Here is an 18,617-nt window from a genome sequence, read left to right as displayed (position 1 = left end):
TGAACCTGTGTGTGCCTTGGGCTACTTGCCTCCCAGGTGGAGGTGGTGAGCAGAGATTGCGCCATTGTACTCCAGCCTGGGCAGCAAGAGCAAAACTCCATCTCAATAATTTAAAAAAAAGATAATAAGGCTTTAGTTCTTCCCTGGCCTGTGAAGTCTGCTTGCTGGATTCATGCCCTTCCCCTCGAGCGGAGTTCTGGCCAGGAGGCTTCTCAACAGGTTCAAATTGTTACAAAGTTCAGCTGGAGAGTTCCTTCTCCCTATGGTGTTTTCCCTGCACCTGCTGAATTGTTTTTCAGTTAAATTAGGGATTTCTTCTTGGTTTGAATCCATTGCTGGTGAGCTAGTGTGATTTTTTTGGGGGGTGTTAAAGAGCCTTGTTTTTTCATATTACCAGAGTTGGTTTACTGGTTCCTTCTCATTAAGGTAGGCTCTGTCAGAGGGAAGGTCTAGGGCCGAAGGCTGTTGTTCAGATTCTTTTGTCCTGCAGGGTGTTCCCTTGATGTAGTACTCTCCCCTTTTTCCTATGGATGTGGCTTCCTGAGAGCCAAGCTGTAGTGATTGTTATCTCTCTTCTGGGTCCAGCCACCCAGCAAGTCTACCAGGCTCCAGGCTGGTACTGAGGGTTGTCTGCACAGAGTCCTATGATGTGAACTGTCTGTGGGTCTCTCAGCAGCAGATACCAGCACCTGTTCTGGTGGAGGTAGCAGGGGGGTGAAATGGACTCTGTGAGGGTTCTTAGCTTTATGGTTTAATGCTCCATTTTTATGCTGGTTGGCTTCCTGCCAGGAGGTGATGCTTTCCAGAGAGCATCAGTTGTGGAAATATGGAGAGGAACGGTGGTGGGTGGAGCCCTAGAACTCCAAAGAGTATATGCTCTTTTTGTTTAGATACCAGGGTGGGTAGGGAAGGACCATCAGGTGGGGGCAGGGCTAGGTATGTCTGAGCTCAGACTCTCCTGGGGCAAGTCTTGCTGTGGCTGATGTGGGGGTTAGGGGTGAGGTTCCCAGGTCAATGGAGTTATGCACCTAGGAGGACTATGGCTGCCTCTGCTGAGTCACTCAGGTTGTCAGGAAGTGGGGGAAAGCTGGCAATCACAGGCCTCACCCAGCTCCCACGCAATCCGAAGGGCAGGTCTCACTCCCACCATGCCCCGCCTCACAGCACTGAGTCTGTTTCCAGAAAGTGGGCAAGCAGGGCTGAGAATTTGCCTTGGGCTACTTGCCTCCCAGGCGGAGGTGGTGAGCGGAGATTGCGCCATCGCACTCCAGCCTGGGCAACAAGAGCAAAACTCCATCTCAATAATAAAAAAAAAGATACTAAGGCTTTAGTTCTTCCCCGGCCTGTGGAGTCTGCTTGCTGGATTCATGCCCTTCCCCCCAAGCAGAGTTCTGGCCAGGAGGCTTCTGAACAGGTTCAAATTGTTACAAAGATCAGCTGGAGAGTTCCTTCTCCCTGTGGCGTTTTCCCTGCACCTCTGGCCACCCTCCGGAAGGATCCCTATGGTGCCAGGCAGGAATGACCTGCTTGGGGACCCAGTGAGCTCACAGGGCCTTTCCCACTTCTTCCTCTACCTGTGTATTTCACTTGGCTCTCTACATCGACTCAGCTCCAGGTAAGTTCAGAATCTTCTCCTGTAAACTAGACCTTCGATTTCCCCTGTAAGGGTGTGTGTTCCGGGGCAGAGGATCTCCCTTTTCCACTTCTGCAGTTTGGGCACTCACTGTATTTGGGGTGTCTCCAGGGTCCTGCAGGCGCAGTTGGCTTCCTTCAGGGGGGTCTGTGGGTCCTCTCAGGTTTCCTGATTTATTCCTGCAGTCGTTCTGGAGCTAAAAATCCATGATGTGAGCCTCTGCACGCTGCTCTGTCCGTCCAAGTCGGAGCTGCAATCTAGTCCTGCCCCTTGTCTGCCATAATGCCTCCACTATTTTTTAAATTTAATTTTTATTTTAAGTTCAGGGGAACATGTGCAGATGTGTTCTATAGGTAAATGTGTCATGGGGGTTTGTTGTACAGATTATTTTGTCATCCAGGTATTAAGCCTAGTACCCAATAGTTATTGTTCCTGAGCCTCTTCTTCCTCCCACACTCTATCCTCCAATAGGCCTCAGTGTGTGTTGTTCCCTTCTTTGTGTCCATGTGTTATTATTTAGCTCTAACTTAAAAGTGAGAATATACGGTATTTGTTTTTCTGTTCCTGTGTTAGTTTGCTAAGGATAACTTCCTCCAGTTCTATCCATGCCCCTGCAAAGGACATGTTTTTTATGGCTGAATAGTATTCCATGATGTATATGTACCACATTTTCTTTCTGTGTATCACTGATGGGCATTTAGGTTGATTCCATGTCTTTGCTATTGTGAGTAGTGCTGCAAAGAACATACACTTGCATCTGTCTTTATAATAGAACAATTTATATTCCTTTGGGTATCTACCCAGTAATGGTGTGTCTGGAATTGGTGGGTTCTTGGTCTTGCTGACTTCAAGAATGAAGCCGCGGACCCTTGCTGTGAGTGTTACAGTTCTTAAAGATGGTGTGTCCGGAGTTTGTTCCTTCAAATGTTCAGATGTGTCCAGAGTTTCTTCCGTCTGGTAAGTTCATGGTCTCACTGGCTTCAAGAGTGAAGTTGCAGACCCTCACAGTGAGTGTTACAGCTCATAAAGGTGGCACATCTGGAGTTGTTCATTCCTCGTGGTGGGCTCGTGGTCTCACTGGCCTCAGGAGTGAAGCTGCAGACCTTCGCTGTGAGTGTTACAGCTCATAAAGGTAATGCAGACCCATGAGTGAGCAGCAGCAAGATTTGTTGCAAAGAGCGAAAGAACAAAGCTTCCACAGCGTGGAAGGGGACCCCAGTGGGTTGCCGCTGCTGGCTCAGGCAGCCTGCTTTTATTCCCTTATCTGGCCCCACCCACATCCTGCTGATTGGTCCATTTTACAGAGAGCTGATTGGTCCGTTTTACAGACAGCTGATTGGTCCGTTTTGACAGAGTGCTGATTGGTGTGTTTACAATCCTTTAGCTAGACACAAATGTTCTCCAAGTCCCCACCAGACTAGCTAGACAAAGAGCACTGATTGGTGCATTTACAAACCTTTAGCTAGACACAGAGTGCTGATTGGTGCCTTTACAATCCTTTAGCTAGACACAGTGTGCTGATTGGTGCATTTACAATCCTTTAGCTAGACACAAAAGTTCTCCAAGTCCCCACCCAACCCAGAAGCCCAGCTGGCTTCACCTCTCAATGGCACTCTGAGTGGGACTCCGACAGCCCAGAGGGAGCTCTTCCCCTGATCAAGCCCAGCAGGCACCTGCCGGCCATGTGGAGTGTGGGGCCGCAGAGCCTGCACCCACCCAGAATCTGCGCCAGCACCACTAGCACCCAGCGCAGCCCAGCTCCCGCGCGCACCTCTCCCTCCACACCTCCCCGTGAGCAGAGGGAGCCTGCTTCAGCCTCGGCCAGCCCCAGAAAGGGGCCCCCACAGTGTAGTGGCGGCCTGAAGGGCTCCTCTAGTGTGGCCAGAGCAGGCGCTGAGGCCCAGGAGGCGCGGAGAGTGAGCGAGGGCTGCTAGCACCTTGTCACCTCTCAAAGGCATTGCTGATTGAATGGTATTTCTATTTTTAGGTCCTTGAGGAATCGTAACATTGTCTTCCAACAATGAATTAAGCAATTTACGCTCCCACCAACAGTGTATAAGTGTTCCCTATTCTTCACAATCTCACCAGCATCTGTTATTTTTTGCCTTTTTAATAATAGTCATTCTGACTGGAGTGAGATGGTATCTCATTGTGGTTTTAGTTTGTGTTTCTCTGATGATCAGTGATGTTCAGCTTTTTCTCATATGATTGTTGGTCACATGTATGTCTTCCTTTGAAAGTGTCTGTTCATGTCCTTTAGGTACTTTTTCATGGTGTTTTTCTTTTTTGTAAATTTGTTTAAGTTCCTTATAGATGCTGGATATTAGAACTTTTCAGCTGCATAGTTTGGAAAAATTCTTTCCCAGTCTGTAAGTTGTCTGTCTATTCTCTGGATAGTTTCTTTTCCTGTGCAGAAGCCCTTCAGTTTAATTAGATCTCATTTGTCAACTTTTACTTTTGTTGCAATGGCTTTTGGCATCTTCACCATGAAATCTTTGTCCACGCCTATGTCCAGAATGATATTGCCTAGGTTATCAACAAGAATTTTTATAGTTTTAGGTTTTAAATGTAAGTCTTTAACCCATCTTGAGTTAATTTTTGTATATGGTGTAAGGAAGGGGTCTAGTTTCAGTCTCCTGCATATGGCTAGCCAGTTAGCCCAGCACCATTTATTGAATAGGGAATACATTCCCCATTTCTTGTTTTTGTCAGGTTTGTCAAAGATCAGATAGTTGTAGGAATGCAGACTTATTTCTGGGTTCTCTATTCTGTTCCATTGGTATATGTGTCTGTTTCTGTACCAGTACTATGCTGTTTTGGTTACTATAACCCTATAGTATAGTTTGAAGTCAGGTAGTGTGATGCCTCTAGTTTTGTTCATTTTGCTTAGAATTACCTTGGATATTCATGCTTTTTTTTTTGGTTCCGTATGAATTTTAAAATAGATTTTTCTAGTTTTGTGAAAAAAAAGTCAATGGTTGTTTAATAGGAGTGGCACTGAGTCTGTAAATTGCTTTGGGCAGTATGGCCATTTTAATGATAATGATTCTTTCTATCCATGAGCATGGAATGTTTTTCCGTTTGTTTGTGTCATCTCTGATTTCTTTGGGCAGTGTTTTCTAGTTCTTGTAGAGAGTTTTCTCCTCCTTTGTTAGCTGTATTCCTAGGTATATTTGTTTTATTTTTGTGTGTGGACATTTTGAATGGGATTATATACTTGATCTGGGTCTCGGCTTGACTGTTAGTATATAGCAATGCTAGTGATTTTTTCACATTAATTTTGTAACATGAGACTTTGCTTAAATTGTTGTGCCTCATTTGGAGGAAAGAAGGCACTCTGGCTTGTCAGTGTTATTGTGTTGATTTTTTTCTTTGTGAGCTTATCGACCTTCAGTCTTTCAAGTTTCTGATCTTTGGTTTTTTTTTTTTTTTTTTTTTTTAATCCTGCTTGATGACCTTGAGGGCTTGATTGTGGTATTAGATGAATTCAGCCAACTGGCTTCATTTCTGGAAGATTGTAGAGAGCCAGCCTCAGCTCCAAACTCCTGGACTGCGTGCTCTAATTCTGGAGGACCCATATTGGATGCCGACTTTTTTCTCTGGCTGCTCGAGGTTAGGAATCCACGGTGCTGCGGGGAACAGTGCTGCAGGGGGCCCAGGTGCCCCTGGACCACTCTGATGCATGGTGTCAGCCGAAGCATTTAATAAAGCAGTGACAGCAGGATCTGTCCTCATTCACACGTGCCAGCAGCAGCAGTTGCAGCAGCACAACAGAATGCTAGCCTGCCAGGATGCCTGCCTCCCTGTGGGCATTCACCTCAGTGGTGGAGGCAACTCAGTTGTGGGTGCCGCGAGGTGCGGGAGGGAGCATGCCTGCGGCTATGTGCAATGTCGCACTTGAGGTGGTGTTGGCTCCAAGGCGGGGCGCTGGCGAGTCCAGATCTGGGTGCTTTCTCTGTGCCCTGTAAGCAGGAGTAGTCACTTAGGGTGGAGGCTGATCTGCTGCTGTTCTCTGTACAGTGTTAGTGCAAGAGCGGGTTGCGGGCAGGAATGGGGCTGGCTGGCTTTGTACCCGACAAGGCTCGGTCTGTAATGGCAGTCAGTGGGGCTATCGGAGGTGGATTGAACTCCTGTGTGCTGGCAGGGCAACAGAAGCAGAACTCACCTGGCAGACACCTGGCAGACACGTACTAGCAGTGTGAAGTGGGGAGTTGCCGTGAGGCAGAAGGAAGCTGCAGTGTGGAGAGGGAGCGTGACGGCTGGTGCGTGGCCACAGGGGACACCCTGCTGGAGCTCTCCGCCAGTCAGGCACGGTCCACCAGTGCAGAAGCTATGGTGAGGACCCCCAGGGCACCTGCGGCTGCCCTGCAAGCAGGCGTGGCCAGGCTGGAGCACCAGGAGAGGCCAGCAGACCAAAGTGTTCTCAGGTTGGACCATCCCTGCCCGATGGGCAAGACTGCCCGGCAGAAATCAGGTCTGACAGGTCCCTTAGGGCTAAAGTCTCCTATGAGAGCAAGTGGAGCCTAGGGGGACGACCAACCCCAGCTTTGCTCTGCTACCAACGCTCCCGCATCAAACCCTCTGGGCTCGACATCTGTTGGCTTGCTGCACCCACCACTTCTCTAAGCAGGTCTCCCGGCCAACTCCAGTGTCCCTGGTGAGCAAGGAGTTTCCACCTGCTGAGCTTCCAGAGGCTGGGGACGACAGCGAGCTGCTCCTTAACTACTCAACTCCACTCCTTCTCCTGGAGCTGTTGGGGGTCAGGAATGAGTCCCAGTGTGCTGCAGCCCCGTGTAGGGTTCCAAGCTTTCTCCTTCTTCAGCCCAGCTTCTGTGTCTTCCCTCCATCCACTCTCAGTGCCTTCCCTCTGAAGATCTGTTAGGAGCACAGCAGTCCTCTTGGTCCCTGGGACGGAGCGGTTCCACCTGGCTTTATCTAATCAGCCATCTTGCCCCCCTCCCCCATGTTATTTTTTTAAACTGCTCTTTGAATTCAGTGATATTTTCTGAAGGCTGCAAACTACTACATATAACCATTTCGGTAATAATGTTGGAAGTTTTATAGGTAGAAAAACAACTTGTTTCAATTTACAAGTAATTGATTACCCGTGAGGTGGAGGTTTTTTAAACGCTTTATATGCTTGTTACCCATTTGTGCAAAGAATTCTAAATGTGTCAGGCTTATTAATCACATAAAGACGATAAAACGGTTAGGATTGGAAGAAATGTTATGTAATTTCTTCCTCAAATGTAAGACTAATCATATAAACTATAGCTTTTACACTGTTGGTTCAGTTAGAAACAATGATACATCTCTAGAATTCAGTTAAAGAGGGATTCTTGGTCTAGCCCAGTAGTTCTCAAATCAAGATGCATATTACCACTGCCTGGAGGCTTTTTAATAAATACTAACAGCAGGTTTCCATCTTCAGATACCCTAATGTGTGACCTAGTCATCAATATTAAAGCTTCTCAGGTACTTTTAATGTGCAGCAAAGGTTGAGAACTTTTAGTCTAGACTATATCTGAAGTCTGTAGCCATCTAACACAGATTTTAATTCTCATTTATCAGCATCATCTAGAACAATCTTCTTAATCTTTATTCCATATTTTTCTTTCATGTAGTCACAAGTCTATGACTTTTGTTATAGTTAATTACTACATTAAATTATATCTTTGGTTAACATCTCAGACTGTATTTCTACTTTTTGGATGGGGGATATATCCTCAGAAATGTAAGCATTTGACTGTTTCATACTTGGATTTGTTTAAGGAGTGAAGCTCTTTTAAACTATGCTGGAGTAATAGCATCATAAACTCAGTTGACCATTTTCTAATAGTATTTAATTTTAAGAACCTAGAGAAAGGAGTTAGAGCGAACTTCCAAGATCACTTTTAATCTGTGCTTAGCACTTACCTTTTTCATTTTATTTGTAGTGAGCGCATAAAAAGTCATTTTTATCTTTTTAAGTCTAGTGCATTAACACATTTTATATTCAAGTACAAATTATGTTTTTTTAACAATTTCCAGACTTTAGGTTACACCTATCTTTCCAGTGATAAGAATAATTTGCAAGTGACTGCCTGAAATAACTTCATAACTTCCAGACCAGACTATTAGACTATATTAAAAGTGGAGCCATGTCCTTTCTAATCCATCGGTGTAAGCTCTCAAGGGAAAATAAAATACCGCAGTAAAAATGACTGTTACATTTCTGTTCTTTAATCCATTATTCACCTTCAGTGCTGTCACCTGGATTCTAATTAGGTCTTCATGCAGGGTTCTGATCCTTGGAGACAGATTGGTTTATTTTTCCTCTGGCCTGTAAGTATCACCGAGCAGGCATGAAAGATGATTCTTTCCTTCTCTCAGCCCTACTTTCCTTTCAAATCTTTAGAAAATAATATTTTGCTTCTGTCATTTATAATCTGGTGCTGCTGATAGTTATGCATCTCAAGATGTTTGTATATTAATGAGTGTGGTTCACTCTTATTTCCTACTGTATCCTGTTAATGTTACAAATTATTTCTTCTTAAGGAGTAAACAATTTCTCCTGTGTTGTGGTTTTCTGAGTGTGGCTGGTCTGAGATTGCAGTATGTATTGAAAAAGAAAAATTAGAGGTACATTTACATCATAGTTTGTGGATATCTTCGACAAGATGACATTGTACATTGAGGCAAAATGTCATAAAATCTTAAATTGTATTCTTTGAGGCTGCAGAATATGAATGTATTATAAGAATGTTGACTCTATTCCTAGTTCAAACCATTTGATTTTCAAGAGTAACTGAAGAGCTATTTATATAGCTTTACGCAACTCTATTAAGTATAACAAATATGTAAGGCAGAGAGTAATACTGACAGTTCAATTTTCACACTCAAAGTACTCTATGTCATCAAAAAGAAAACCCCTAATTTGTAATAAATATTTAAAAGTTCATTTGGGGAAGTTTATCTAAACCAGTAAAGAACATCATTTAGTATAAAAACTCTAGGTTTCTTCATCCATCTACCTTCTCTCACCACTACCACCACTACCATTAGCAAAGTGGAAACAAAAGGAAGTTATTATTCTCAAACTATTTTATGACATTTTTACATCATAAAAAGTAGCACACATATTCAAATTGGGAAATCACAATAAAAGAGACTTGCAGACTTTCCTTAATATTAATCAACACTTATTTTTAGAAATTTTATATAGTCCTTGATAAATAACCATCTGTTTGGGTTTCTGAGGTCATCACTTACTGCATTTGATTTAGATTACACCTCCTTGTATAGACTCACATTAGGTAAAGCAACATGGAATTAGTAGTTGTAATTAAAATCTACTCTGGATGCAGCCTCATGTAGCAGGCCAGAGGAGTGGGTATTGCAGTAGTTTGCTACTGTTTCTCGTGGATATAGAAATTTCTAGTCCTAATGCTTTGTCACAGACAATACAGAATGCTGTGTGTCAAAGACAAGACCAAGGGAAAACATTTTCACTTATACTTTCTTTTTTTCCTGCTGAGCACTCCTTGTTACTTGAGAATCCCTTTGCAAACTAATTTTATAACTTTTCATCTTTGAAAACCTGTGGTCTATGTGCTGTCAAAATTTCTAAATCCTGGGGTGATAATTTCTGCCATTTTTGAAAACTTTGGCAAAATTTTCTGAAGAAACATGTCATTTGCTCAATCCTGAAACAAGAATAAACTCAGAACAGGTACTTTATTAGAGGATTTTGAAAATAAAGGTGGTTTACTTCCCTTCTGTCAAATACCTGTGCCTCAAAAGCATTATCTTAAAAATATATAAAGACTGAAGCTTCTTTAAAATAAGGTCTAAAAATGGATTAGTGATTATATATCAGTCATATAATAATGTATTTTCTCAGTAGGAATTTGAATAATTTATTTAACATTAATTGACTAGTTTATGTCATTTTCCCCAAAAATTGTTAAAATAATTGATTGGATGCTATTTTACTTTAAGAAGCCATAATCCTACTACTTAGATATTTCATTCTCTCTACTCAGAATGTTAAACGTATTATTATTTTTTCCTTTGTCACCTTATCTTATTTTATCTTATTTTTTATTTTTAATTTTTATGGATACATAATAGCTGTACATATTTATGGGGTACATGTGAAATTTTGAAACAAGCCTATGATGTGTAATAATCAAATCAAGGTAATTAATTGGAATATCTATATTCCAATATATGAGATATATGATATATCACATACATCATACATATCACACATATATATGTGATATATCACATATACCGTGTATCACATATATATGTTCTGTTCATAAGTTCTGTGTCCCAGTCTGGACACTGACCATTGAAAAGCAGATGCTTTTCTGTACCAGGAGCTGTTGATGCATGCCGTGCTCCTTGACTTTTCCATCCTAAAATACCACTATTAAGTCTGTGCTCTGAATGGTGGACAGGTGGTGAGGTGATGAGTGATCACGCTGCAGGCGCGACGTTCTCTAGCTTTAACCAGGACTTCTTGTACGACTTTTCCGCTTTCAGTATCCAGAGCTGATATGTAGCTTTATCCAACTGTAGGATTTGAGGTTATCTGATGAGGGATCAGGCAATAGCAATCCTCTGTTTTTTGACCTCCTGAGAGCTGAGTCCCCTTATCTTCCAGTCTTGTTTCATATTTGTAGGGTAATGTCTCTAAGAAAAAATGTGTCTTGGCAGCTTTGTCTGCACTCACAATTTCATCCTGTGATAAAACCTGGCTGTTGTCTCCGTAGGCAATATTCTCAGTAATATTTTATATATATAGATAATATCAATTATATATCACGTATTATATATCATATATATTATATATCAAATATATCATATCAAACACACACATATATACATATATGAAGAAATATGTTATATATATAATGGTTTCTTTATTCATTCATCCATTGATAGATTCTTAGGTGCATTCCATATCTTGACTATTATAAATATTGCTGTAATAAACAGGAGAGTGAGGACAGATACCTATTTGATATACTAGTTTCCACTCTTTTAGATATACACCCAATAGTGGAATTGCTGGATCATATGGTAGTTCAATTTTGAGTTTTTTGAGATCTTCCATACTGTTTTTTTGTAGTGGCTGTACTAATTTACAATCCCCCTCCAATAGTGTAGGAGGATTTGCCTTTTCCCACATCTTCCCCATAATCTATTATTGTCTGTTTTTTAAAAAATAATTTTAACTTTTATTTTAGATTCGGGAGGTACATGTGCAAGTTTGTTACATGGATATACTGTGTGATGCTGAGGTTTGGGGTATGATTGATCCTGTCACCCAGGTACTGAGCATAGTACCCAATAGTGAGTTTTTCAACTCTTGTCCCCCTCCCTCCCTCCCCTCTCTAGTATTCCCCATTGTCTATTGTTGCCATCTTTATGTCCATGTGTATCCAATATTTAGCTCCCACTAATAAGTGAGAATATGCAGTATTTGTTTTTTTGTTCATTCATTTACTGAATTGCTTATCTTTTTGATGAAAGCCGTTTTAACTGGAATGGGATAATATCTCATTGTGGTTTGATTTATATTTCTCTGATAATTTGTGATGTTGAGGATATTTTCATAAACATGTTAGTCATTTGTATATCTTTTGAAAAATGTCTATTCATATTTTTTGTTGATTCAAAAAATTGGATAATTTGCATTTTTTCCTATTAAGTTATTTGATCTCCTTCTATATTTTGGTTATTAATCCCTTGTGAGGGGGGTATTTTGCAATATTTTTCCCATTTGGTGGGTTGTCTCTTCATTGTTTATTGTTTGTTTGTTTTTGATGTGCAAAAGTTCTTTTGTTTAATATAATTTCATTGTTCACTTTTGCTTTGGTTGTCTGCTTTGAGGTCTTACTCAAGTCTTTTCCCAGACCAATATTCTGGAGCATTTCCTCAATGTTATCTTCAAGTGGTTTCATAGTTCAGGACTTACATTTAAATCTTTATTCAATTTTGACTGGGGTTTTGTATATGGTGAGAGATAAGAGTTTAATTTCATTCTTTTGCATATGAATATCCAGTTTTTCTAGCACCATTTATTGAAGAGACTGTTCTTTCATCAATGTATGTCCTTGGCACCTTTTTCAAAAGTGAGTTGACTGTAAATACATGAGTTTATTTCTGGATTCTGTATTCGGTTTCATTGGTCTATGTCTGTTTTTATGCCAGTACCATGCTGTTTTGGTTACTTTAGCTTTGTAGTATAATTTGAAGTCAGGTAATATGATGTCATCAGCTTTCTTCTTGCTCAGAAATGGTTTCACCAGTCAAGGTCTTTTGTGTTTTCATATAAATGTTAGGATTTATATGAAATCCTATTTTTCTATTTCTGTGAAGAAAGTCATTGTTATTTTGATAAGGATTACATTGAATCTGTAGATTGCTTTGGGTAGTATAGACATTTTAACCATATTGATTTTCTAATTCATGAACGTGTGATATCTTTCCAATTTTTTGTGTCCTTTTCAATTTCTTTCATCAATGTTTTATAGTTTTCATTGTAGAAATCTTTCACTTCTTTGGTTAAGTTTATTTCTAGGCATTTTGTTTTATTCGTAGCTATTAAATGGAGTTACATTTTGGCTTTATTTTTCAGATTGTTTATTCTTGGCAGATTAAAATATTCTTAATTTTTGGTATGTTGGTGCTTTATTTTAGTGTGGCTGAGCTGGTACCCAAGTTGCAAGACAAATTCATCTGTACTCTTCTCTCTCCTTTCCCTAGGCAGAAGGAGTCTCCTCCATGCTGTACTGCCTGAAGTTTGGGAAGGGGTGACACAGGCATCCTTATGGTTGCTGCAGCTGTTGTCACCCTGGGTCACACCCTTAGCCCATTGTCTCTGACAGCAGAGTAGCTCCAGGGCCTGCCCAAGGACTGCAGTCAACTGTGGCTTGACTGCCATTCAAATGTATTCCACTTCAGTCAGCCAGTAGTGAAGCAGGCCAGGACTTGGGTTCCTCCTACTGGAGTGGAGGACTCCCCTCTGGCCTAGGACTGGTCCAAATGCTCCCTTGGATGATATTGGCAATATTCTGCCTTGTGTTGTGTCCCCCTGTGACAAGATGGGACTGAGTTCCAATGCAAAGGAACACACTCACTCCACTCTCTCTCTTGCAAATACAGGGATTCTCTCTTTTCACTGCACTTCCTGGAATTGGGGGAGACATGATGTAGGCAATGCAAGGGGTATAGTTTGGATATTTGTCTCTGCCCAAATCTCATGTTGAATTGTAATACCCAATGCTGGAGGTGGGTTCTGGTGGGAGGTGTTTGGATCATGGAGGCAGATCTCTCATAGCTTGGTGCTGTCTTTGTGATAGTGAGTTCTCATGAGATCTGATTATTTAAAGGTATGTGGCACCTCCCCCCGACTCTCTCTCACTTGTGCCTGCTTTTGCCTTGTAATGTGCCTGCTCCCCTTTTGACTTCTGCCATGATTGAAAGCTTCCTGAGGCCTCCCTAAAAGCCAAGCAGATGCCATCACCATGCTTTCTGTAAAGCCTGCAGAACCATGAGCTAATTAAACCTCTTGTTATAAATTACCCAGTCTCAGGTATTTTTCATAACAATGCAAGAATGGCCTAATACAGCAAGACCGCCCTTTCTACCCTCTTCAATGCTTCTGTCTTTGCTATGTTAAAACCAGGTACTGTGATTGCTCACCTGATTTTTATTTTTTTATTCTTATGAAAGTGCTTTCTCGAATTGATAGTTGTTCAATTTGGTGTTCCTGTGGTAGGGACAATAGCTGGAGGGTTCTATTTGACCATCTTGTTCCTACTCCTCTTACCGATATATCATTATTTTATATTACAAAAAAATGCTTTCATTTTTATCCATTTATTTTTATAATTTGAGTCAAAGCAGGGAACATTTCTACTATGATGACTGTCAGTTTTCTCCTACATGCTTTAAAATTTCACAATCAGCATTCAATTACAGAAAAGGTCCAGTGGGGAAAAAAACATGTATTCACTATGCTTTCTGGAGAAAGAAATACTTTTGGTTTATCATACCTGTTTTTCATAAACTTAAAACTAAAATAGCACTGTTCTATATAATAAAGCATTAAGATATTTAAAAATCCAGTAAAGGCAAAAAATGTAATGAAGAGACATTTAATTTCAAATACAGCAGTAATATTATCTTGCTGATTCAATCAATATAACACTGAAACTGAAAAAATATGTAAGTTGCTGACAATTTATTGATGCTGGAAATGCTATTCTGACAAGTAAACTTGTATTTCATTAGCTACAAATATTTGCGTTATGTTTCTCTACCAAGAAAATGTAATTACATCTTTGCAGTTTTGAAAGTAGTGGAATACTGGTCATTACTAGAAATAGCTATGTTCCCATTTGGCTAATAACATTTTAGTTCATGTAACTGTGAGATAAAAGACTAAGGATTATTTATGTGTCTAAAGGATGATCCTAACTAACAACGCAAAGAACATGGGTAGCCTGTAACTTATTCTGTGAGATTCCAACCCTTTAGCTGGGACATTTTTCAAGACTGGGATATTTTATGTCAATATAAATCTAGACAACTCCCGAACACGAACCAGAGGATCACTAGAAGCTTTGCAAATCCAACATTATTTCTGGGGCATATTGGCTTGGACAAAATAGACTGTGTTCTTTTATGTCCACTTCTCCTCATTTTTTCTTAAAGAATACATAGGTTGTTGTCCCATAGAGCTAATAATTTTCTCATAACTCTTCCACTAGATAATAATAATAGCAATTACTGAAATTTAAGGTGCCAGCCATGTTACTAAGTTCTTCAAATACACTATGACACTTAAACCTCAAAACAATCCTGATGTATCCCCAGTGCTTAGAATAGTGCCTGTCACTACAGAGGTACTCAGTAAGCATTTAGTAGTGAATGGGCAAGCCTGTGAACAAGGTATTATAACTCTGTGTTACAGATGAGGACATTAAGGATAAGAAAATGAAATAACTTGCTCAGGTTTATATTACCAGCAAGAAGGAGAGGCAGAATTTGAAGACAGGTCTAGCTGATTGACTCAAAAGTTTATGCTTTGACTCTTTGTACACACAGCCTCACCTAAATTCTCAGAGCCTCAGTTTATTATTAGGAAAATAAAGATATTTCCACAAGTGATCTCTAAGGGCCTTTCTAAATTAAATAAATTAATGACCAATCTGTGAAAAATTAACATCAAGCACAGACTTGAGAAGTGGGTATGAAACCCCAGTGGTGATATGTTTTTTCCACCTTGGAAAAGTTGGCAAGATTTCTGGATTTGTTGCTGAGTGTAAAAAGTGAGCCTGAGTCTTCTACAGATCTATATAATCTCTCACCAGCAGTTCTAAAGTCCAAACAGCTAAACACTAAAACCTTTTAAATACTTTTGTCTGCAAAACCTGTCCTGACTTGAACTTATCTGAGTGCAAACACTAACCTGAACTGATGTGAGGCTATTTCTAGTGTTTATTCATCACACATGTGGGCATTTGTTTGATTTGCTGCCAAAATATTAATATATTAGGCCATGAGATGCTACATCCACTCCTTGAGAGAAGAGGGCTAGAATGTGCATGCATTAGACAATTTATGCAATATATACCTTTTTATAAGCCTAAACAATTCTAAATCATAAACTCTATTTGGTCAGTGGCTTTGGGATAAGAAGTAGTGGACGTGCTCATGCTCTGATGGCTACAACTATAGTCATTGGAGGAAGAGAGAGCCAGAGACAGGCAAACTTTTAGTTTTAAGGGTGCTGATTTCAAGATATCAGGGCATCTGCTATAGATGTGTTTTCTTATTTGTAAAAAGGAAGAACACCGGAAATCATCATGGTGTGTCCCCTTCTGAAAGAGCTAGAATCCCTAGGAGTGAAAGTACGTTCTAGTGACCCCTAAAACAGAAAGAAACTAAAGTCATCCAAAACCATTTAAATCACACTCAGCTTGTCTTTGATATATCTACATTCTGTTTCTGACTTGTACCTATATTTTCCCCAAATCTCTCCTGGTTTTAGAGTCATCAGGGCATTTCAAGGTAGCGTAATAATAAAAAGGAAGAAAGAAACCCACACCTTGCACCTATTTACAACCTCCTGGTTTTATTAGATTTTTACTCACATTTTCCTATTGAGTATTCATATAAAAAGGTAGAGAAGAAAAAAGAAGAGTTATTATAGCTCCATTGAAAAGATGGAGAAATGTACGCTTTTCAGGTTAAGTGACTGGCCATTGTCACACAACTATTTAGTGGCAAAAGAGGGACTGGAATTTGGAATCTAGATTCCTAACTAAGTGAATTTCCCACTTTATGAAATGACTCTTGAACTTAACTTCCATTATCTGAATGTGGTATACCTAGGATATTTCTCTTTTCAAATAGGTGTTATATAAAAAGCATACTCGATATTCCACAATATCATGGAAAAAATAATAGAAAATTTATATGAGATGATAGTGCAGTGTGACTCACAAGATTTCCTGACTGCTTCCCAAAAAGATTTTCCTAGTTTATTCAAGACACAGAACAGACTTCCTAAAATGGCAGTGTTAAAATTCCTGTATGTCTTCTTTGAGAATCTGGAGACTAGCCAAACATTCATTTTGATACTGCTGGAACTAATGCTGTACTTTATAAAATGGGTCACAGCGTGCTCCTGAGATGTCTTAAAGGCACGATGGGCTTTGACTAGTGTGCTTGGAGCTGCCTTTTTTGCACACGGACTGACTTGAGTAGTCCCTTGGCAGCCTTCACCTGGGCATACACACAGCAGTCAGGCTCCCAGGTGATTATGTGTGTGTGCTGCAGCGTCCCAATATTGAACTTCCTTTCATCTTTCTTGTCAACTTTTAGTCTCCTTCCTTCTTTTCATTAACAATAAATAAATGCATCGATTTCTGTATCTTTTTGCTAAGGATATGAGGGTATGCCATGGACAGAATTATTCCCCTCAACACTTCACAAAATTTCATGAGAAGCCCTAAGCCCCAATGTCTTGACATCTGGAGATGAGGTCTTGGGAAGAAAATTAGACTTAATCAGGTCACAAGAGTGAGGCCATTATAATGAGAATTAGTGCCCTTATGAGAAGAGACGCAAGACAGCTTGCATGCTCATGCTCCACCTCCACCCTCCTCTGTCTTTCTCCCCAATGTGAAGATACAGTGAGAAGGAAGCCATCTGCCAGCCAGGAAGTGAGCCCTCTTTACCAAAACCTGACCATACTAGCACCCTAAATCAGACTTTCAGCCTGCATAGTATTTTATTACAGAAGCCTGAGATGACTAAGACACAGTACCTATATAGCATTGTAAATGATACCTCACTGGAGACACTGACAGTAATTGATGCCTTTATACTCTTAGAAACTTCAAATATGTTACAATAAGTTATTTGTTAAGTACTTAACTCTGGTTTAATAGTATGCATTTTCTAGATTTATTAAGAAAATAACGTGACAGGGTTGAAAATGAACATATTACTAACCTAGAAATGCAAGAAACTTAACTGAGAGAGCATAATCTAGTTTGTGTTAAGTTGTAGAAGAATGACTTAAACTTTTCTATAAAACATGTTTCTCAGTAAACTATCGCAAGAATAAAAAACCGAACACCGCATATTCTCACTCATAGGTGGGAATTGAACAATGAGATCACATGGTCACAGGAAGGGGAATATCACACTCTGGGGACTGTGGTGGGGTGGGGGGAGGGGGGAGGGGAAGCATTGGGAGATATACCTAATGCTAGATGACGAGTTAGTGGGTGCAGCACACCAGCATGGCACATGTATACATATGTAACTAACCTGCGCAATGTGCACATGTACCCTAAAACTTAAAGTATAATAAAAAAAATAAATAAAAAAAAAACATGTTTCAAATTCTCCCAAATTACATGGTCTCTTTTGGGATAAATACTCAGTCAATTAACAGCCCAACTCCCTCTCTAGTTGTTTTCCTACCTTTGTAGGTATTTAACAAACTTAGAACCATATTTGGGAGTCACTTTCACCAAGTTAAACTGTTTTGAGAAATTATTTTTTCAAGCTAAACTCCTGGCTTCATATCGCTTTCTTTTACTTCTCACTGCCTCCTTTTCCCAACATTCTCTTTCAAAAATCTAGTTTATCTTGCTGTATCATATGCATCTTTACAAACCAGTTTATTTCCTTTTAGGAACAAGGCAGGACACAAATAAAAATAATGATAATTAAATAAACTAATTAGCCAGCCTCAAGGTACTCTGCTAGAAAGAAATAATAATGCAGATTAATTATTCATGAATGTGGGAAATAGCTGAGAAAGCCTAGATTCATATATTGAAAAAGCCCAAGTATATCGAATCACGAAGTTCTGCAACATGGAAACTATAAATAGGGGGTGATAGGAACAAGGCAGTCCAGGATCATTTGTAGATGTTTATTCTAGAATGTATGAGCTAGAATAATCACTGCCTCACAATAGCATAAATTAGTTAGGCATTACTTTTTGATGGCTTCTTCATATTTTGAACACAAGGATTCTTATAGTAGAGCCCCAAACAAAAACACTGGTTAACTCAGGTTAAAACAAATCATTAAAATTGCCCATTATGTTGCATAGAGAACTACCAGCAAATATCTGAATACATTTGGAAGCAGATTAAATTATTATATGAGTGTCACTATACCAGCACAATATAGAGATCTCCTATTCTATTAAAAAGAAACAGTTTATAATATATTTTAATGCCACCTACTAATACTTACTTTGAGAAAAATAAATATTATTTTTTCATTATTTACCAAACTGATGCAAAAATGAATTTTTATAAACTTTTATTCTATCTTTTTCTTGCTAACATTCTGACTGAAATAACAAGATGAGTAAGAAATTCTTCATGGGGAAATTAGCCTCTTTAGATTTCCATTATGATATTTCCAAAGGTAATTTTATTTTTCATTTGGG

The 18,617-nt window shown here is 39.8% G+C and overlaps 1 long non-coding RNA gene across 1 annotated transcript in view, besides 2 other annotated features; it reads left to right on the top strand.

The window, feature by feature from the left end:
* Positions 1-18,617, top strand: part of LOC105377509 (uncharacterized) — a 227,163-nt gene that overhangs the window by 205,176 nt on the left and 3,370 nt on the right. The window lies entirely within an intron of this gene.
* Positions 611-1,810: an enhancer, noted in NCBI's record as "CDK7 strongly-dependent group 2 enhancer chr4:158744759-158745958 (GRCh37/hg19 assembly coordinates)". NCBI's record gives its function as "activates an origin of replication core promoter dependent on BRD2, BRD4, P300/CBP, MED14 and CDK7 cofactors, with strong dependence on CDK7, by STARR-seq in HCT116 cells {active_cell/tissue: HCT116}" and the evidence as "EXISTENCE:reporter gene assay evidence [ECO:0000049][PMID:35650434]".
* Positions 5,769-6,588: an enhancer, noted in NCBI's record as "H3K4me1 hESC enhancer chr4:158739981-158740800 (GRCh37/hg19 assembly coordinates)". NCBI's record gives its function as "activates a minimal SCP1, AML or CMV promoter by ChIP-STARR-seq in naive H9 embryonic stem cells {active_cell/tissue: H9 hESC(naive)}" and the evidence as "EXISTENCE:reporter gene assay evidence [ECO:0000049][PMID:30033119]".

This window comes from Homo sapiens, chromosome 4 (assembly GCF_000001405.40).
Source record: "Homo sapiens chromosome 4, GRCh38.p14 Primary Assembly".
NCBI lineage: Eukaryota > Metazoa > Chordata > Mammalia > Primates > Hominidae > Homo > Homo sapiens.
Note: the sequence above shows the minus strand (reverse complement) of the source record. Positions and strands in the feature narration are given on the sequence as shown.